Source organism: Homo sapiens, chromosome 5 (assembly GCF_000001405.40).
Source record: "Homo sapiens chromosome 5, GRCh38.p14 Primary Assembly".
Lineage (NCBI taxonomy): Eukaryota > Metazoa > Chordata > Mammalia > Primates > Hominidae > Homo > Homo sapiens.
In genome coordinates this window covers 71,905,530-71,928,179 of record NC_000005.10, presented here as the reverse complement: position 1 = coordinate 71,928,179, position 22,650 = coordinate 71,905,530, and the positions used below count along the sequence as shown (strand labels likewise).

General features: G+C 38.1%; 1 long non-coding RNA gene across 1 annotated transcript, besides 1 other annotated feature; it reads left to right on the top strand.

The window, feature by feature from the left end:
- The first annotated feature begins 2,363 nt into the window (after positions 1–2,363).
- LOC107986382 (uncharacterized) lies at positions 2,364–20,471 on the top strand. The gene is made up of 3 exons (XR_001742515.2): positions 2,364–2,507; positions 5,011–5,079; positions 20,165–20,471. It is a non-coding gene; the product is annotated as an uncharacterized LOC107986382 (long non-coding RNA).
- Positions 20,754–20,873: an enhancer, noted in NCBI's record as "active region_22643". NCBI's record gives its function as "activates an Ori minimal core promoter by ATAC-STARR-seq in GM12878 lymphoblastoid cells {active_cell/tissue: GM12878}" and the evidence as "EXISTENCE:reporter gene assay evidence [ECO:0000049][PMID:35858748]".

The following is a 22,650-nucleotide window of genomic DNA, read 5'->3' as shown; positions in this document are numbered from 1 at the left end:
TTCATATGTTTGTTGGCTATTTGTACATCTTCTTTTGAGAATTGTCTATTCATGTCCTTAGGCTAATTTTTTATGGTATTATTTGTTTTTTTCTTGCTAATTTGTTTGAGTTCCTTGTAGATTCTGGATATTAGTCCTTTGTTGGATGCATAGTTTGTGAAGATATTCCTTCCACTCTGTAGGTTTTCTGTTTACTCTGCTGATTATTTCTTTTACAGTGCAGAAGATTTTTAGCTTAATTAGGTCCCATCATTTATCTTTGCTTCTGTTGCATTTGCCTTTGGGTTCTTGGTCATGAACTCTTTTGTCCTGCTTCTTTACTGCATCTTGTTTTATTAGCAGGGTCTTTGTGACCTGTATCTTGTGTTGACCTCCTATCTCATCCTGTGACTAAGAATGCCTAACCTCCTGGGAACCAGGAGGTCTCAGCCTCATTTTACCAAGCCCCTGTTCAAGATGGAGTTGCTCTGGTTTGAATACCTCTGACAGTTTAAAATGACATTGATCATTTGTTTTGCTCATTAATCTGCAATTTGAACAGGGTTCAGTGCAGCCAGCTCACTTCTCTCCAGCCGGCATCAGCTGGGGTAGCTTGCCTGGAACTGGAGGTTCCACTTATAGATGGCTCATTCATACGGCTGGCAAGTTAGTGTTGTCTGTCAGTTTCTCTTCAAATGGGCCTCTCCACAGTGTGGCTTGGGCTTCCTCACAGCATGGAGGCAGGGTTTCAAGTGTGAGCATCCCAAGATATGCAGGAAAAAGGTGTATCATTTTTCATGACCTAGCCCCAGAAGTCACAAAATATCACTTGCCCCATAGCCACTTGTCTATCTACATCCAAATAAAGAGAACATAGACTGCCCACCTCTATTGGAGGGGAGGAGAGTTACAGTCACATTGTAAAAAGAGTATATTGATTGGGGAGATGCTGTGGTAGCCATTTGGGGGAAAATACAACCTGCCACAAACATTAGCTATAACTAATATATGCTGAGTCCTTACTCTCTTCTGACTCTAGCCTGAAGTGTTTAATATGGGTTCTGATTCTAACTTCCACCAGAAGCCTATAAGGTAGATCATAGCATTATCCCATTTTACACATAAGGAAACTGAGGCTGAGAGGGAGGTTGATTATTTATCAGCTTGAAAATGGTAGAGCTGGACTTCGAATCCTGATCCACTTGGACCAAGTGGCAGAGCTCACAATTACCATACTACATGCCTCTCAGCAGTGATGGGTGGTCCTGATTTGGGATGTATTAACGTGAAACAATGGAACTGGAACAGAACTGAGGACAGGAGCCAAATTTTGGCTCCAGCTCTACTACTCATAATTAGAGATGTCATTTATTATATGCATCCTCTCACATATTCCTTGACATTATGCTTTGCAGGACTTATTATAGGATGCCCATTGAACAGGTCAGATAATTCAGGCTCCAAGAGGTGAAGTAACTCGTCCAAAATCAAAAATATGTCCAAGTCACACAGATGTTAAGTAACTGAACTGAGATTTAAAACCAGGTCTGTCTTACTCCAAGACTCTTAATCACCTCAATCCATGGCCTGGGTCCCTGGACAAGCCACTTCACTCCCTGAGCCTCAAACACTTCACCTGTAAAAAGGGAAGGAACCATGATTTCTAAGGTCCTCTTTGTTCCAATGACTCTACTGGATGGCCCTGGGCACTGGACACTGAGGCCTCTGGTGTTAAATCCCCTTAAAACATGGTTTCTCAACCTCAGCACTATGAATATTTTGGGCTAGATTTTGGGATAAGATTTTGTTGTGGGTGCTGTCCTGTGCATTGTAGGAATTATAGCAGCATCCTCAGCCTCTACCCACTGGGTGCCAGTGGCATTCCTTCCCCTCAGTTGTGACCACCAAAGTGTCTCCAGGCATTTCTTAATTTCCCTTGTGGGGAAATCTTGCTCCACCCCTTTGTCTCTTGCCTATTGAAAACCTCTGCCTTAAGTAGTTCAATTAGAAGTCTTTACAGAGGTCCTGGTGGTCAGAGCCACCTTCCTCAGAAGTCCCTGTCTCTTTACTGGTAATATCACCAGCTGAGAGGATCAGGGAGGGATCTGGATGGTATGACAAACCCATATTTTTCCTCTTGTTGAGCTATTCCTTTGCTTTGGACTCTGATCAACAACTCAGAAATTGATGGGACACAGATGTCAACAAATAGCCAAATGCTAGACCAAATGTAGGGAAGCAGGCTCTTTTCCCCTCCCCTCTCCCTGCCTCTCTCCCTCCCTCCTACCCTGACTCTCTCTGTTCTCTCTCTTTCACTCCTAACTCTGTTTTCTGTGTGTGTGTGTGTGTGTGTGTGCGTGTGTGTGTGTGTGTGTTTGCGTCTCTCTCTCTCTCTCTCTTCTTCTCTCTCTGTCTCTCCACCTCTCTCTCTCACCAGACATTGGCAGGGCAAAGGAGATCACTGTTGCCAGGAGATTGTTTGCATTCCCGGGTCTTTCTGGCAAGGCCTTCCTCTGAGTGGAGTCGAGGTAAGCCAGCCACCCATCTCCCAGTACCAGGCAGCCTGGCACCAAGGGTCTAAGCTAAAAATGTATCCTTCTAAGCTTTGCCTCCAATAGGTACTTGAGCCTGTGGAGGGGCTGACTCCTTTACAGACACTCCTTTCTCCAAATGAATTGTCATCTCTTCTAGGATTCTACAGGGTATTCAGAGCAGTGGTTTTTTAAAAACAAACTTAAAGAAAAATCAAGAGATTTGCTTGCCTCTGGTCATTTGGCACCTCTTTCTCCATAGCCCTTAAAGATAACCAACAACCCTTGCAACTCCAGTGCCAATTTGGGGTGCTCTGTAATGTAATTCTTCTGGTCTTAAAAGCCGCACTCACTGTGCAAATAGATCTTTCCCAAGCCCCAACTTCATCTTTGGATTACATTTTCCTTAAGAAATGTTTATTCTATAAATTTGCAGCTTGGAGATCCTTCTCCCTGATGGAGTAGGGAAGTAAAACAGGAAATGAGCAGTGCTGCTTGTCTTGCTGTCTGTCAACATTACATCATCTGCTCCTGGCCTTTATTTCTTCGTTGCTCTTAATCCCTGTGTAGCTTCCTAAGAGCCCTTGGTTTTTGCCCTTACCACTTTTCACGAGCCTCAGTTTGTTCTGGGATTTTACCTTTTTGGCTTGATTCCTTCAGGTTTGTGTCCCTCTTTTGTGTTTGTCTTGACTATATGGCCATATTTTTTCCAGAAGAATAATATTACACCACTAACATTTTATTTAGTAGCCTCTTCTATGCCTCCTAACTGAAGCATTTTCCCTCTTAGAGCCTCTAGCTATTAGATGTTACCTCTGTTTTTCTGGTTTTAGTCCTGAGCCTTCATACCCCCAGACCATACACTAGCAGGGCAGTTCTAGAAGTGCAGAGAACAAAAGAGCATGGCTTATAAAAGAAATCCCAATCCCAACAGAGTGTGAGATTAAAACAAAAACATAAAAGGAAAATGAGAGTAATAAGGAAAATTAAGGCACTTACAAACTCAGATTTCCCTGATCACCTGAGATGTTTGTAAAAAATGCAGATTCTTGGCCTCACCCCAAACCTCTTGGCTTTCTAGGATAGAAGCCAAAACATTCATTTTTAAACAATTCCATCAGCTGTTTTTTATGTATACTAAAGCTCAACAACAACTTCACTAGAGGCCAAAGAAAGGAGAGCAGAGTGAGATTTGGTGGCTGAAATGGATTGAAAAATCAAAGCCTACCCATTTCTCTGTACTACTGAATCACTATGAATTGAAACTCTGCCAATTACAAAGGAATACTTCAGCCTGGGTCAGAAGGCAGTTGAACATTAGAAGAAACAAGACTCCTGTTGAAGTATTTAGAGAGAAAGTTCTAGGGCTCAGTTGTAGAACTAGAACTTCTTGCTGACCTTATAATAGTCATTATTGCATTCTCTTCTTAAACCATCTGCATTTAGTAGGAAGATAACTCATGCTCTGTGATAGATACCAGGGCATCTGACAGTGAAAAGATGAGTTTTGAAGCCCAGCAGGTCACATTTGAGTACTATGTCTTCTACTTAATAGTCAACTGATCGTGTTCAACTTGCTTAACTATATATGCGAAATGAAAATAATAACACTAACTTTGATATTTGAGAACATCAAGTGAATAAATAGTATCTATAAAGCACCTACTGCATATTGGTTGTGCAACCTACATTCCTTTCTCTCCTTCCCTAAGGAAGATGTACTCCCAAGTATTCACCATTCTTCCCATTCCTTGGAAATTCTTAAGGAAAACTTCCCATCTAGTTTAGCTCAGTACAAAACTGCTGAAAACAGCCAAAGATCCAGGACAAGAAGGACTGATTCTGTCTTAAGGGGAATTCTAATTTATTGACTTCAATTAATTATGCATTACCTGTTCAAATCAATTGTTGCTTTGTCATAACTTCAGAATGAATAATGATCTGAAAATTAGAAACTTCTCTGTTTTGAAATGTATCCTGGAATTCTTTTCAAAAAAACCTGGTTTTGGAATATGAAGGCTATGGGATTTTGGAATTTCCTTCATACAATTTTGTTTCTTTTGAATAATATTTTAATCTTTGCAAGTACAGTGTGGATTATAGTGGAGTACCCTGGGAATCTGTATCCTTAACTACAGAACTACCCTTAATTCTAGTTCTGTTTTTCAACTAACATTGCTTACTCATTGGCAATCAAGGGCGCTAGCTATCTACCTACACATCTACCATGAGCTACATAACATCTAATTTGAATTGGTAGGTCACTACCTCCAAGCTCCAGCAACCCCTTCATACTCCTTCCAACACTTGTTTTGGCAGAACTATTCTCAGAACTCTCATGGAAAGCTTTAGTGGACTCAATAAGGAGTTTTGGTTTGTGTTCACATCTTGTATGTACGTAATATATTTACTGTTTTGGTCAGTTAAGGCTGCTATAACAAATTATCATAGACTGGTACAACAAACATTTATTTTATCAAGAAACATTTATTTCTTACAGTTGTGGAGCCTGGCAAGTCCAAGATAAAGGAGCCAGCAGATCCAGTGTCTGGCGAGAGGTTACTTCCTGGTTTGTAGATATCTGACTTTTCATTGTATCTCACATAGAAGAGCAAAAAATAGCTAGCTCTCTGGCCTCTTCTTATACTGGCCTGAATCCCATTCATGAGGATTCCATCCTAATGACCTAATGACCTCCCAAAGGCCTCTTCTCCAAATACCATCACATTAGGATGAGCTTTTTATCATATGAATTTGGGAGGAAAAAGGGGAGACAAAAACATCCAGTCCATTGCAGACTCCTTGGAGGGTAAGCCCTAGGAATAGAATCTGAGGGTGGAGCATGCTGCCAAGCCCTATTGTGTGAGAAACAAGGCCTGGAGTGTAATTTTTTTCAGCCTCTGTTGTTGGAGGGATAGTAATGGTGTGACTCACACAGGAAATATCAAGGTGCTATACAAGGGTGAAAAAGCTTAGCAACTTCCTAGTCATCACTATTGCAGAAAGAGGGCAGCTAGAGGGCTCTGGTAAGCTAGTTATATTCATTAACAGCCAGCCATTTTTGTATTAATACATAATATTTTACATATTTATGGAGGTATATATGATATTTTGTTACATGCATAGAAAGTGTAATGATCAAGTCAGGGTATTTGGGGTATCTGTTACCTTGAGTATTTATCATTTCTGTATGTTGGGGATATTTCAAGTTCTCTCTTCTAGCTACTTTGAAATATACAATACATTGTTGCTAACTACAGTCACCCCGCTCTGCTGTCAAACATATAAACATATACCTTCTATCTAACTGTATGTTTGTATCCATTAAACAACCTCTCATCATCCTCCCCTCCCACCCACACCCCATTCCAGCCTCTGGTATTTATCATTCTACTCTCTGTCTCCATGAGATCAAATTTTTTAGCTTTCACATATGAGAGAGAACATACAAAATTTATTTTTCTGTGTCTAGCTTATTTCACTTAACATAATGGAACTCCAGTTCCATCCATGTTGCTCAAAATGACATAGTTCCATTCCTTTTCAATGGCTTAATAATATTCCACCTTGTACATATAACACTTTTTTTTATTCATTTGTCCATTGATTGACATTTAGGTTAATTCCATATATTTGTTATTATGAATAGTGCTGCAATAAACATGTGAGTATGGGTATCTCTTTGATATACTGATTTATTTTCCTACAGATAAATATCCAGTAGTGGGATTACTGGGTCATATGGTAACTCTGTTTTTACTTTTTGAGAATCTTCATACTGTTTTCCATAGTGGCTGTACTAATTTACATTCCCATCAACCATGTATAAAAATTTTCTCTTCTCTGCATCATCTTACTAGCACTTGTTTTTTTTTTTTTGTCTTTTTAATAATAGCCATTCTAACTGGGATGAGATGATATCTCATTGTGGTAGATATCACATTTGATTTGCATTTCCCTGATGATATATATATGCCTAACATCACTTAGTTGTTTGAGTTTCTGACATAACCTGGGTATTAGTTCCTTGTCTGATGAAGAGTTTGAAAATATTTTCTCCAATTCAGTAGATTGTCTCTTCACTCTGTTGATTGTTTCCTTGCTGTGCAGACACTTTTTAAATTTAATATAATCCCATTTTTTCTATTTTTGTTTTTGCTCCCTGTGCTTTTGAGGTCTTAGCGATAAAATCTTTGCCTAGACCAATGCCATAAAGTGTTTTCCCTATGTTTTCTTCTATTAATTTTATAGTTTCAGTCTTATGTTTAAGTCTTTAATCCATCTTGAGTTGATTTTTATATATGGTGAGAGATAGGAGTCTAGTTTCATTCTTCTGTATATTGATATCCAGCTTCCCATGTCCTCTCCTCAATGTATGTTCTTAGCACCATGGTTGAAAATCAGTTGTCTAGAAATATGTGGATTTATTTCTGGATTTTCTATTCTCTTCCATTGGTCTATGTGCTTGTTCTTATATCAATACCATGCTGTTTTGGTTACTATAGTCTTGCAATATATTTTGAAGTCAGGTAGTGTGATGCCTCCAGCTTTGTCCTTTTTGTTCAGGATTGCTTTGACTATTCAGGTTCTTTTTCAGTTCCATACAAATTTAAATTTTTTCTCTATTTCTATGAAAAAAATGACATTGGCATTTTGATAGGGCTTGGATTGAATCTATAGATATCTTTGGGCAGTATGGTCTTCCTAATGATATTAATTCTTTTGATCCATGAGCATGGGATGTTTGTGCCCTCTTCAATTTATTTTATCAGTGTTTTGTAGTTTTCCTTTTAGAGATCTTTCACCTCTGTTCCATGGTGGGCAGGCCTATGCAAACCTGCCCCCAAAGTCCATGGAAGCTGACAGACAAAAGAAGGAGACTGATAAATCCAGTTTCTTAGAAAGAAACATTTAATCATGACTTATGAACAGAAGTTATGTCTATGTCTTAGGTGGCAGCAAGACAAGGTGGTGGATCCCTGCCCTTATCCAGATTCAGGGGTTATATACCATAGGAAACTGGTACATGTGATTTGGAAGGGATATGTAGGGCAATTGAGGTACAATGACATCAAGGTTGCTTTGACCTAAGGGCAGGATTTATGTTAAGTGTCTGCTCTTACACAAGGAATAATAGATAAACTGGAAATCTTAGAGGCCTTCTTGGAACTGGGGTTAATGAGAAGTCAACATGGCTGATTAGCAACCAAGATGGAGTTGCTTTCACCTCTACAACCTCCTTGGTTAAATTTATTCCTAGGTGGTTTTTTTGTAGCCATTGTAAATGGGATTGACTTCTTGATTTCTTTCTCAGCTAGTTTATTATTGGTATATAGAAATGTCACTGATTTTTGTATGTTGATTTTGTATACTGAAACTTTACTGAATTTATTTATCAGATCTAAAAGTGTTTTTGGTGAAAACTTTAGGTTTTTCTAGATGTAAAATCATGTCATCAGCAAAGACGGACAATTTGACTTTCTTTTTTCTAATTTGGATCCCTTTTATTGTTTTCTCTTGCCTGATTGCTCTGGCTAGAACTTCCAGTACTATGTTGAATAGGAGTAGTGAAAGCGGGCATCCTTGTCCTGTTCCACTTCTTGTGGGAAAGACTTTTTAGTTTCTCCCCATTCAATTTGACATTAGCTGTGGGTTTGTCATATATGACCCTTGTTATGTTGAAGTAAATTCCTTCTAAGCCCAGTTTGTTGAGAGTTTTTGTCATGAAGGAATGTTGAATTTTATCAAATGCTTTTTCTGTGTCTATCAAGAGGATTATATGGTTTTTGTCTTTCATTCTGTTGATATATCATGTTTATTGATTCATGTATGTTAAACAATTCTTGCATTCCTGAGATAAATCCCACTTGACCATAGTATATAATTTTTTTGATGTGTTGTTGGGTTTGGCTTGCTAGTATTTTCTTGAGAATTTTTGCATCTATATTCATCTGGGATATTAGCCTGTGATTTTCTTTTTTTGTTGTATCCTTGTCTAGCTTTGGTATCAGGGTAATGCTAGCCTTGAAGAGAATATTTCCCTTTCCTTAATTTTTTGAGGCCTTGAAGAGAATATTTCCCTTTCCTTATTTTTTTGAGAATTGGTGTGTTAGTTTTGCTTTGAAAGTTTAGTAGAATTCGGCCATGAAGCTATCTGGTCTTGGATTTTTCTTTTTTGGGAGACTTTTCATCGCTAATTCAATCATGCTTTTTCTTATTGCCTTGCTCAAGGTTTCTGCTACTTCCTAATTCAATCTTGGTAGGTTGTATGTTTCCAGGAATTCATCCATTTCCTCTAGAGTTTCTAGTTTGTCAGTGTATAGGTGTTTATATTAGTCTCTGATGATCTTCTGTATTTCTGTGATACCAGTAGTAATGTCTACTTTTTCATTTCTTGTTTTATTTACGTGGGTCTTCTCTAATTTTTTTCTTGGTTAGCCTAGCAAGTGGTTTGTTGATTTTCATCTCCAAAAGACTCAGCTTTTAATTTCATTGATTCTTTGTATTGGTTTTTAGTGTCTATTTTGTTTAGTTCTGCTCTGGTCATCATTAATTCTTTCCTTCTACAAATGTTGGGTTTGGTTTGTTCTTGTTTTTCTAGTTCCATGAGATGCATCATCAAATAATTAGTTTGAAATCTTTTTAGTTTTTTGATGTAGGTATTTACTACTAAAAAGTTTCCTTTTAGCACTGCTTTGCTGTATCCCATAGGTTTTGTTACATAATATGTTCATTTTTATTTATTTCAAGAATTTTTTTAATTTCCCCCTTAATTTCTTCCTTGACCCACTTGTCATTCAGAAGCATGTAGTTTAATTTTCATATATTTGTACAGTTTCCAAAGTTTCTCTTGTTGTTGATTTCTAGCTTATATTCTACTGTGGTCTGAGAAGATACTTGATATGATTTTGATTTTTTTTAAATTTGTTGAGACTTGATTTTGTCCTAACATATGACGTATCCTGGAGAACGTTTTGTGTGCCAATGAGAAGAATGTGTATTCTGCAGTTGTTGGATAAAATGTTTTGTAAATATTTGTTAGGTCCATTTGGTTTAATGTGAAGTTTAAATTCAATGTTCTTTTAATTTTCAGTGTAAATGATCTGTATAATGCTGAGAATAGGGTACTGAAGTCCCTAAGTGTTATTATATTTGGGTCTGTCTCTCCCCTTATGCCTAACAATATTTTCTTTGCGTATTTGGATATTTTGGTATTGGATGCACATATGTTTAGAATTGTTATATATTCTTGCTAAATTCATCCCTTTATCATTATATAATGAGCTTCTTCGTATTTTTTTACTGTTTTTGTCTTAAAGTCTGTTTTCTCTGATATTAATATAGCTCCTCCTGCTCACTTTTGCTTTCTGTTTGCCTGCAATACCTTTTTCCATCACTTTGTTGTCATTTTATGTGTCTTTAGAGGTGAGATGAGTTTCTCATAGGCAGTATATCATTGAATCATTTTTTTAATCCATTCAGCCAGTCCATATCTTTTAGGTAGCAAGTTTAATTCATTTACACTAAAGTTTATTATTGATATATAAGGGCTTATTCCTTTCATTTTATTACTTAATATCTTGTTTGGTATATCATTTGTTTCTTTCTTTCTCTGTTACTGTTTTCATTGTGGTTTGGTGGTATTCTGTAGCAGTAACATTTAAGTTTTTCTCTTCCTTGTTTGTGTGTTTGCTCTAGCAGTGGTTTTTATATTTTCATGTGTTTCCATGATGGTACTTATTGTTCTTTTTCTTCCAGTTATAGAAATCCTTTAAACATTTCTCAAAGGGCCAGTCTAGTAAGGATAAATTTCCTCAGCTTTTGCTTCTCTGGGAAAGACTTTATTTCTTCTTCCTTCATGAATGATACTTTTACTGGACATAGTATCCTTGGCTGGAATTTTTTTTCCTTCAGCACTTTAAATATCATCCCATTCTCTCTAGTCCTGAAGGTTTTTGCTGAGAAATCCATTGTTAGTCTGACGGGGATATCTTTATTGTGACTAAGTGTTTTTCTCTTGATTCTCTAGAATTTTATCTTTGTCTTTGATTTTTGACAGTTTGACTATAATGTGCTATGAAAAAGACCTTTTTGAATTTTATCTGTTTAGGGATCTTTGAGCCTCTTATATCTGGATGTCTAAATCTCTTGCTAGACTTGGGAAGTTTTTATCTATTATTTTGTTAAATAGGCTTTCTAACTCTTTTGTTTCCTCTTCACCTTCTGGAACACCAAAAATTCAAATATTGCATTTTATGAAAGGGCCCCACATGTTGCAAAGGCTTTGCTTATTCTTTATTATTTGTTTTAATCTGACAGGATTACTTCAAATGACCTGCCTTAAAGTTCTGATATTCTTTCTTCTGCCTGACCTAGCCTATTATTGAGGCTTTTGAATGTATTTTGTATTTAATTCAATGTAGTTTTCAGTTTGAGAATTTCAGTTTTATTCTTTTTCAAATCTGTCCCTTTGATATGAGGATATCTTATTCATATCCTGAATAGTTTTTCTCATTTTTTAATATTGTTTTTCAGAATTGTCTTGTATCCCACTGAACTCCTTCAGTATCAATATTTTGAATTTTTCTGGAATTCTGTAAATTTTTTTTGGTTGGAATTTGTTAGTGGAAAATGATTATATTCCTTTGAAGGTGTTACAGTTCCTTGCTTTTTAAAGTTTCGTATGTTTTTACATTGATAACTGCACATCTGGTGTAACAGTCACTTCTTCCCATTTTTTAAATTTGATTTCATAGGGGAGGAATTTTTCCTGAAGTTATATCTATTGTGTTTTTTGGGTAGGGCACTTTGGTTTTGATTCTGGGTGCATGCAGTACTGTAGTTTCTGTATGGTTACATCAGTGACGTCTGTGATTTCCTTGATGGCTTAGGGTGCATTTGTTAATGGGGGCTGTGGTAAAGTTTGGCTGAGGATTAGGACATCAGTTGGGCAAGTCTTGAAGCCTCAGTGGTGGCAGCGGTGGGCTGAGCATGCCTGTCCTTGAGCCCCAGGGTGGCATACACTGGTCCTGGTGTTAGCAGCTCCAAGCCAGTCAATTATTGAGCCTCCAGGTGGATTGCTTGGGTGCTGGGAATGACAGCAGTGAGTTGGGTGGGTGAGTAGGTTCTCAAGCTATTGGGAAGAAAATGTGTGGCATGGTTAATGGCAATAGTAGTAGTGGAACAACCCTCCGGGACCCAAGTGGTCCACATTGGTATTGGCAGTCATTGCAACAGGTTGGGTGGTCCAGTCCCCAGACCTACAGGTGAGTGTCAGCTTTGATGGTAGCACCAAGTTGAATGGAGCCAACCTCAGATCCCAGGAAGAGTGCTCAGGTGCCACTCATGGTGGACTGGGCTGGGTGATCCCCAGGCCCCTAGATGGTGTGCTCAGGTACTTGGGAGTTGGGAAGCAGCACCAAGTTGGGCAGACCTGCCCTCAGGCCCACCTGGTGGTACAAGCAGGTGCGAATGGGCAATCATTTTTATTAACAGGTAAAGGAAGCAGCCAACATTTTGCCAGGCACATTAGGAAAAAGCAGAGTTGTCTGGAGACAATTAGTAAGACTTAGTACATAAAGCAAGTACTTAAAGAAAGAAAGATTCTGGTGCACAGTGGCCTGGGGACAATAGCAACAGGGAACCCACAAAAGAGGATACAGAGACTTGGAGTAGAGACTCTTTCCTGAATTTTATTTGTTAAGGGTGACTATTCTGTAAGTAGGCAGGAACTAGAGACTGATGTGAAAACCTGCTGTATATTCTTTATACTTTTTGCAATTAACTGTATGTTTTAAATTGAATCTAATTTCCATTAGTGATTCTAGTCATTCTCAACTAAGCCTTTGTTCGTTTTCACGAACCCTTTTAAGTATGTTCAAATGGAGACACGTGTCTAAGTGAACTCTACTTGTTACACTTAAGTCTCTGATGTCAAGAACAGTAAAATCCAGGTAGTCCGAACCTTCCCACATTCACCCTCAAAATTCTGTCTTAGTGAGGCTTAATTCCCAAGATCCCTGGGTCTTAGGAAATAAAGAGCAGAAGCACTCCGTAAAATCAATAGACACTCCTAGATGTTGATTTTGGTTAATTGGCCTCCCGGGAAACTCTGCTTTAACTTTTACTTAAGTCAAGAATTTTAAATGGAAAGCTAAAAAGAAGTATAAATTAAGGAAGGAGGTGATCAAGAAGGCACTAGGCATTTGGATCTAGTTATTATAACAAATAACAATTAATAACATAATGTTTCAGACACAGTAGAAGTTTATCTTAGTCCAAGGTAGATGTTCCTTCTCAGTGGAGGTTGTCTTGCTTCCATCCCCCAACTGTCATTCAAGGACTCAGGCTGACAGGGGCTCTGTCATCTTCATCTAGAGTTTCTAAGATCACCACAATCATCTCCATCCCAGGGGAAAGAGCAGGAAGGAGGACTTAAAGGGAAATATCCATGGGCCAAGACTACAAATGGCACATACCACTTCTGTTCACATTTTTGGCTAGAACATAGTTACATGGCATCACCTTACTACAAGGGAGTCTGGGAAAGGTGGCCTTAGTTGTGTGCCCAGCAATATGAGGAAACAGATGTTAGTCAGTAGCAGCTCTGACTAGAAGTTACATGAATGTATTGACCACCCCCCACCTTCCGCCCACCCACACAGATACACACACTAACACTCACACACAACCTGGAATACTATTGGCTTCATTTCCAAGATGATTATAGAAAATTAAGAGAAAGTTTTGTTTGAAATAATAAGAGTAAGGTAGGAGCTGCCATTTACTGAATACTCACTGTGTTCTAGTACCTGTGTTAAACACACACATAATGTGTGTATTTAATCCTCATATCAACTCTGACTTTGCAGAAAAAGAAACTGAGGCTGAGAGAGGTTAAGGCCTGATAGGCAGTCAGTAAACAAGCTGGGGTTTGAACCCAGGTTGTCTGATTCCAATGTCCATACCCTTAACTACCTCATTATACAATCATAATCGCATCACAGAAGGACCAAAATATAAATTGCAATCTGCTCCAAAGTTAAGCCAGGGTTCTTCTATTTTCAATTCCAGGAAAAGGAAGGAATGATCTTCAGATTTTGAAAATTCTCAAGTGAATGAACTTGAAATAGAAAAGCAGGAAAGCCTTTGGCCAAGTTTAGAAATCCTTCGAACTCCTTGGAGTCTGCCATTGAAACCCAGCCTGAGCCTTTCTGGTTTATTTTTAGTTCTTACCAGGCACCATTTCCTGGATCAGTGAAGTAGGTTTAAACATCCTTATGAAGTCTTTGAACCTAGTGAGAATTTTTTAACTGAGTGAGGAAGAAATGCAGCTAAACCCTGGGGCAAAAATATCTAAAATAAGAGCCCAACATTTAAGCAGTAAGAGGCCATACCTGTCAAAGCCAGTTGGGCTTTCCTGTGACCCCACAAGGCTGAAATCCCCTTAGAAACCCTGCTTGTTCCTTGAGTCTGTGTCCGAGTCTAGGAAGTGAAGGCTCTGTGATTTACTTAGCACCCTTTCCCAACCCCGTCTGGAACCCTAATAATGTCAATGTAGATCCTTAAACTCTGCAAATATTCCTATAATCTTTGTGGTTTGATCTTGATCAACCACCCATATAGAATTCAAAACCCTCAATGCTCACTCAGGCTAAAATCAGGAGACAGAAGTAGAGATACACACCAGAAATTTCAAGTGAGGTGGGTTAGTAAATTCTGCTCACCACTGTCCACAGTTAGCAGCTTGTGATGCTTGTGAGCTCTGGGGCCAGGTCTACCCTTGGGTTTACTTTCAACATGTCATCATGGACAGTGGTCCTAATCCATGGCCATTTGCCCGCCTGCTGACACACCTTGCTCACCTATGAAGAGCATTTGAAAGACACATCACCATTTGCCTCTTCTCTGAATCCTCTAGATACTGCCTCTTTAGTTACCCATGTTAACATGCATCATGCTATGTCTTGGAGTTGTGAATGGAATTTTTGTTTCCCTTTATAATCATGAGAAAAAAGAGGTAAAGACAAACTTGTCCTGTTACCCATCCTCCTTTTCTTCCATGCAATTGTTTCCTCATGAACAGAAATAGAGGAAAGTGAAAACATTACTAGAATACGGCAAACTTTTCATGAAGCTGGGTGGTGGGTACAAGGGTGATCATTGTATTATTCCATGTAAACATTTTGTGATTTTTATTATTATCGTAATAAATCAAATATTAAAGGAAAATAAGTTAGACTGATTTTTTTTTGTTTTTATTTCCAACTTTCTATTACTCACCAGTGGATCCTGGGCTGTGTGGATACCCAAATAAAAGGCAATATTGGAGTTCTCTGTTGGGTACAAAGAGCTGACTGCCCCAGCTACTGGATATGTGCCCAAAGTTATTTTCCTTTACACTGTTTTATACCTTCCTCATATTGTCTTAGGTGAACTTGTGTTTCCCAAGACAACCTTGCAGTCTGCCACAATGTAGTTCCAGCAATGGCATAATCTTTTTCCTGTTAATAATTTCATAGGTATTTTAACAGGGAAACACCTTGGTTACTGAGCTGGGCAGGCATTTCTCTTCCCCTGTCTTCAATTTTCTTCACAGCATTCATTAGATTTATTCACAGGTAATCTTCTTTGGTAGAATTATAAATAATATCTTTATTAAAGTGCAAATTCTGACAAATAGAAATGGAATTGACTTTTGCATATAGATTTTATCATTTGTGAACTTGCTAAACTGTCTTATTAATTATAATAGTTTTTCTTGGACCACTTTTGGTTTATTTTCTATGTGGAAAATTATACTATCCACCAATAATGACAATATGGAGCCTTTTATTTCCTCTTTCGGTCTTATTGTACAAACCAGGACCTCTAGTACAATATTGGTGAGAAGCAAAGATATCATAATTGAGTTTTCATCTCTTCACGATTTTTTAAAAGTCACCTGTATGGAGATATAATTGTCATAAAGTAAAATGTATCCTTTGTAGATGTACAGATCTTTGTGTAACTACACCCACAATGAAGATGTACAATATTTCCATCAGCCCAAAAACTTTTCTAATGTCCCTTTGTAGTCAATCCACTTCCCTCCCTACCCCCAGCTCCTGGCAATCTTTGATCTGCTTTTTGTCTCTGTAATTTTGCCTAGATCAATACTTTATTGCTTTTTGCAACTGAATTGTATTCCATTTTAAGGCTGTAACACAAATTTTTTTAATCCAGTCACTAGTTTACAGACATTTGGGTTGCTTCTTGTTTAGGACAATCATGAATAAAGCTGCTGTAAGTATTCAGGTACAAGATTTTTGTGGACGTATGTCTAAATTTATTTTGGATAAATACCTAGGAGTAGGATTGCTGAACTGTACAATAAGTGTGTATTTAACTTTATAAGAAACTACCAAACTGTTTTCCCAAGTTGCTGAACCAGCAAAATGGCTCTTCCACCAGCAATGTATGAAAGTTCCAGTTGTTTCACATCCTTGCCAACACTTAGTACTTTCAGATTGTAAAAAAATGTCATTATTCTTGTATTTATGGTATATATGGTGGTATTCACTTGTAATTTTAATTTTATTTCCCTAATTACTAATGATGTTGAGCATCTCTTTATGTACTTATTAGTAGTTGCCATCATATTTCTTCTTTGGTAAAGATCTATCCAAATCTTTAGCCTATTTTTAAAAATTGAGTTTCTTGTTTTCTTTTCTTTTCTTTCTTTCTTTTTTTTTGAAATGGAGTTTCGCTCTTGTTGCCCAGGTTGGAGTGCAATGGCATGATCTCGGCTCACCACAACCTCTGCCTCTCAGGTTCAAGCAATTCTCCTGCCTCAGCCTCCCGAGTAGGTGGGGTTACTGGCATGCACCACCACACCCAGCTAATTTTGTATTTTTAGTAGAGGAGAGATTTCACCATATTGGCCAGGCTGGTCTCAAACTCCTGACCTCAGTTGGTCCACCGGCCTCGGTCTCCCAAAATGCTGGGATTACAGGCGTGAACCACCGCGCCCGGCCTTGTTTTCTTATTATGGTTTTCAGAGTTTTCTATCAATTCTAGATACCGTTTCTCCTCAGATTCTGTCTTAAATATTTTCCCCCAATCTCTGGATTTTTTTTTAAATTTTCTTAATAGTGTCTTTCAAAAAGCTGAAGTTTTCGTTGTGATGGCATTTAACTTTGTCTTCTCTGGCTTGTGCTTTTTGTCTCCATTAGGAAATCTTTGCCTCTATCAAGTTCACAAAGAGTTTATCCTATGTTTTCAACAAGGATTTTTAAAGTATTGTTGGGTTTTACCTTTCAGTGTATAGTCTTTCAGGTTACATGGTGCAGGTTATGGACCGAGATTCTTTTCATTTGTTTGTTTGGTTGTTTGTTTTTCCAATTAGTATTATCCGTTCAAACCTTTGGAACACTTCTGAAGCCAAGCATGTGCGGTTCTTACGGTTCTTACACCTACAACAATTTTCCAACTCTCCAGGATACCAGCTGGATGTTCAATGATTCAATTCAATCCTGACACTAACTGCTCAAAGTTAACACCACACCCCATATATTAAGGGGCCAGTTCTACAAAACTGCTCCCCATTATACACGCCATTCACAAGTCCCAGGCCTCCTGTACCCCTGACCAACCAGCAATACATCAGAGATTCCCATGACTCCATCCTTGGGTTGAATAATTTGCTAGAATGACTCATAGAACTCAGGAAAACAGTTTACTTACTATTACCACTTTATTATAAATAATTCAACTCAGGAACAACCAGATGGGAGAAATGCATACGGCACACCACCCTCCCAGAACCTCTAATGTGTTCAGCAACCTGGGAGGTCTCTGACCTCGTACTTTAAGGTTTTGATGGAGTTTCCATTACATAGGCATGATTGATGAATTATTGGCCTTTGAATTATTGGTGATTTAATTCAATTTCCAGCCCCTCTCTCCTCCCATGAGGTCAGGAGGTAGGGCTGAAAGTTCCAAATCTCTAATCACACCTTGGTCTTTCTGGTGACCAGCCCTCATCCTGAAGCTACCTAAGAACCTCCAGTCCCAGTCATCTCACTAGTATAAAAAAAGACACTCATCACTCCAGAGATTCCTGAAGCTCTTGCGTCAGGAACCAGGGCTAAGACCAAATATTATAATAAAAGATGTTTCTATCACCCCTGTCACTCTGAAAGTTTTAGGAGCTTTGAGCCAAGAACCAGGGAAAAAGACCAAATATATATTTTGCAATATCACAACAATGAGTATCTAATTTTTCCAGCATCATTTGTTGAAAAAAAATACTTTTTTTCTTCATTGTATTGCCTTTACACTCTTGTTAAAAATCAATTTTGTAGATACAGTTTGTGAGGGTGTATATGCGCAAACACACATAACACACACACAATCTGTATTTGGTATTGTTGATATACATGTGTGTCCTTTCACCATTACCCCACTGTCTCAATTACTGTAGCTTTATAATAATACAGAAATTAGGTGGTGTGAGTCCTCCAAATCTGGTCTTTTAAAAAATTGCTTTGGCTATTCTGTTGTCTTTGCTTTTCTACATAAATTTTAGAATTAGATGAAAAATTTTCATAAAAATGCCAGGCCAGATTTTGATTAAGTATTGAATCTATAGACTAGCTTGGAGAGAACTGATATCTTAACAATGTTGAGTTTTCTAATCCATGAAAAGGGTATAATTCTTCATTTATTTAGCTCTTTTTGTTATCTCTCACCAATGTTTTGTAGTTTTCAGCATACAAATTTAGCCAATACTATCTCTAGTATTTTATGTCTTATATATAAATGGTTTTATTTTTTAGATTTCTATTTTCAAATGTCTGTTGCTAGTAAATATAAACACACTTAATTTTTAAAATATTGACTTTGTATCATATGATCTTGCTGAATTCACTTATAAGACCTAAAAACATCTTTACAGGTTTTGCGGGTATTCTCTGTGTGTGCAATTATGTTGTTTGTTAATTAAGATAATTTTATTTCTTCCTTTCCAATCTATACCTTCTTATTTCTTTCTCTTGCCTTGTTATGCTAGCTTGGATATCTAGTATGATACTGTATAGGAATAGTAGGAGGAGACATCCTTGCTTTATTTCCAATCTCAGCGAAACTATTTTAGTCTTCCACCATTAAGCATGATATTAGCTATGGGTTTTTGGTAAATATTCTTTATCAATTTAAGGAAGTTACCATTTTTACTAGTTTACTGAGAGATTTAACACAATGAGATATTAAATTTTTTCGAATAATTTTTCTGCATCAATTGCGATAATATGATATTTTGTTTCTAGTCTGTTAATAAGGTGAAATTGATTTATTCTAACATTTTGAAATCTTACATTCCCAGAATAAACCCCATTTGGATAAGATATATTATCCTTTTTATATATTGCTAGACTCAATTTGCAAATATTTTGTTAAGGATTTTTGTGTCTACATTTATGTGAGTTATTGGTCTTTAATTTTCATTTATACAAAGTCTATATATAGTTTTGGTATCAAGGTTATGCTAGCCTTATAAAATGAATTGGGAAGTATTTTCTCCTCTTCTATTTTCTGGAACAGTTTGGTTAAAACTGTTATTATTTCTGCCCTAAATATTTGGTAGAATTTACCAGAGAAGCTGTCTCTATTAATTGCTACATAAAAAACAACCCCCCAAAATTAGCATCTTAAAACAATGAACTTGTTTTATTTCCCAGCTTCTATGGGTCAGGAATTTTGTACTGGCTTAGCTGGGTGGCTCTAGCTTAAGGTTTCTCATGAGATTGTAGTCCTATGATAAGTCTTTTTTCTGAAAAGTTTTTACTTCATCTTCACCTATTAAAAGTATTTTCTCTGGGTATAAAATCCTGGGCTAACAGCTTTTTAAAAAAATTCCTTAAGATGTCACACCTTTGTCTTCTGGTTCACATCATTTCTACTCTGCTATATTTCTTATCATTGCTCCTCAACTGTAAAGTGTATTTTTTCTCTGGCTGTCCTCAATATTTTATCTTTACCTTTGATTTTCAGCAGTTTGGATATAAGAAGTCGTGTGTGTGTGTGTGTGTGTGTGTGTGTGTGTGTGTGTCTGTACGCTTGGAGTCCTCTGAGCTTCCATTTGATGTTGCCCCACAGATCTTGGATGTGGTGTTCTTTTTATTCTTCACTCCTTTCTTATTTGTATTTCAGTATGGATAGTTCTTATTGCTCTATCTTCAAGTTCATGGAGTCACCATAACTATGGTGATTCTACAAATAAGCCTGTCTACTAATAAGTTTCTCTCTATTAGCACCAACATTGGGATCATCTCTGAAACTTGTTCTGTTAATTGCTTCACCTATTGACAATCGTTTGATTTTTTCCTTGCCTTTTTGTGTAACTTAGAATTTTTTACTGACTGCCAGATGTGCATAGAATAGTAGAGACTGTGTTACATAGTATTTGTGTTGGACAGATTCTAAAATAGCCCACAATTATCCCCAATTCCTGGTATTCACACCTCTGTGTTATCCCCCCGCCTAAGGGAGGGCAGAACCTATGACTTGCTTCTAACCAGCAGAATATAGGAAAGAAGATGGGATGTCACTTTGGCAGTTAGACTCTGTAATAACTTCCATCCTGCTAAAGCAGACTCTCTTTTTTACCTTCTCAGCTTGCTTGTTTTGATGAACAAGTGATCACTCGGAGGCCCACATAGACAGGAACTGATGGCAGCCTCCAGCCAACAGTCAGTAAAAAAAGTGAGGCCCACAGTCCAACAGGCACAGGAAACTGAATCCTGCCAACAACCATGTGAGCTTAGAGGTGGATACTTACCACTCAGCTTTCAGACGAGACCTCAGCCCTGGTTGACACTTTGATTGCAGCCTCATGAAAGACCTTGAAGCACCACCCCCAGTTAAGTCCTGCCTGGATCCCTGACCCACAGACTGTGAGATAATAAATGTGTGTTGTTTAAACGACTGAGTTTGTGATAACACTGTTATGCAGTGATAGATATTAACTAACATAGTTTTTACATGTAAATATGCGTGAGACTTCTCCTCTGTTAGGTCATCAGTGTAGGAGACTTGAGGAGTTAAAGAATATTTTTGCCAGGATTCTATCACCAGAGATTCTGATTTGATTAGTTGGAGCTGTGGCCTAGATATTATAAGTTTTCAAAATGACAGATGATCCTAATGTGCAGCAAAGTTTAAGAAGCACCATAAAGACAGTTTTTCACGTTTCCCTTCTGTTTCAACTGTCACTTGTTTATATTCTCAGGTTGTCTTCTATAAATAACTTTGCCTCAATACTGACTCTTTGGCCTGTCTGGGCATGCCCAGCCATTCCTTCCCTTATGCATACACACACTTTAGTACTTGGTTCTAGTCATATAGCATTGACAAGCCCAGATATTTGTAGCGTGTCTATGGACAGTGACACTCAGAAAAGGGATAAGTCTCTGTGTCTCCTGTCCCTCCACCCAGTGGTACTCGGCTGGGGAGGTGTAGGATGGCAGCATCTGTCAGGAGAGAAAGAGGAGCTGGAAAGCTGGGATGAGGTAGAGCACTTTTGGCCCATGAGTGACACATCCTAGCACAGTTTAAGAAGTTTCAAGAAAACATCAAATATTCTAGAGTATAACAAGTAACAGAAAAAGAGCCACCATCAGAAGGACATGCAGTAAATGCTGGGTCTGAAAAATCCTGGAAGAAAAATGACCTTGCTCCTTCCCGTGATAATTCACTGCATCATTATTGTTACTTCCTTAGTGCCAAGAATACTAATGCTAATGCCTTAGTATTTAAGGGCATATGTTTGTGCATATCTGGGTGCAGTATATAGAAATATCAAATTGTTTAGTTATTTTTACTAGTTAGGCTGGCTGGTAGCTGGCTTGTCCTGACTGATAAGTGTGTTTCTTATTTGTGTTCACAATAAATCATGGGGGATGCTGGACAGAAATCTGCTGAGAGTGATATGATTATGATGTTAATGGTTTGGGACCTTGAAGCCCCCAAACCACAAGGGCATAATAACCTGACTTGGAGGAGAAAATCCTGCCCTGGCTGGAAGCCAAGGGGACAGCTGACAAGGAACACAGCCTGGTCTTGCACATTTGCCACTGGCTTCCTGCTCTGCTCCATGGCATCCTGCTCTGCTGACCACCCACTCTGGAAGACCAGCCTCACTGCCCATCTCCAGGCACTGCTGCTGACTGTGAGTGATCATTGTCTCCTCTCCCCAACCCTGACTGTGAGTGATCATTTTCTCCTCTCCCCAACCCTAACTGCTAAGCTGTGCCAGAGGTTAGGCATTGATTTATGGCTTGTTTGCTGTTAAAACTAGCCCACATAAAAAGGAAAGCAATTTAAATAGTACCTTGCTGTGAAAGTTTTTATCCTTTCTTAACATTTCTCTTGGACAAAAGAACTGTGAGATTAAGGCAGCACTATACCTCACTCCCCACAGAGCTAAATTGCTCTGTGCCCTACCCAAAAGGCCATCTATCAGAGGGCATAAAGCGTAGTGGTTGGGAACATGCACTTTGACATTAATAGAATAAGGTTTTCCAGCTCTGCCATTTATTAGCTTTATGACTCTCAGGCAAGATACTTAACCCCCCTAGGCCTCTGCATTCTCATCTGCTCAGCACAGTATCTGGCACAAGTTAGTTGCTCAATAAATGGAAGCTGTTATCATTGTTATTTAGACTTTTTCACCCAGAGCTGTAATCTGTCCAGACACCCTATCACAAACTGGGGTATAGTTCACCCAGATTAGAAAATTATTACCTCTATCCCCATGCCTTCCTTCAACATAGAGATCAATCCCTGGGTAGTGACTTCACTCATACTTAGTTACCCATCCACATATTTCTGTATATGGAAGTCAAAATGCCCTTTTGTTCCTAACAAATGCCTCTTACACATGCAAAGCATAATGCCAGGTGCTGGAGGAAACAAAAACACATACGACTTATGAGCTTGGAAGTGGATCCTTCCCCATTCAAGCTTTCAGATGAGACCTTAGTCCTGATTGACATATTAATTGTAGCCTCATGAGAGACCTTGATGTGTAGCCCCCATTTAGATCATGCCTGGGTTCCTGACCCACAGAAACAGTAAGATAATAAATGTACATTGTTTAAGC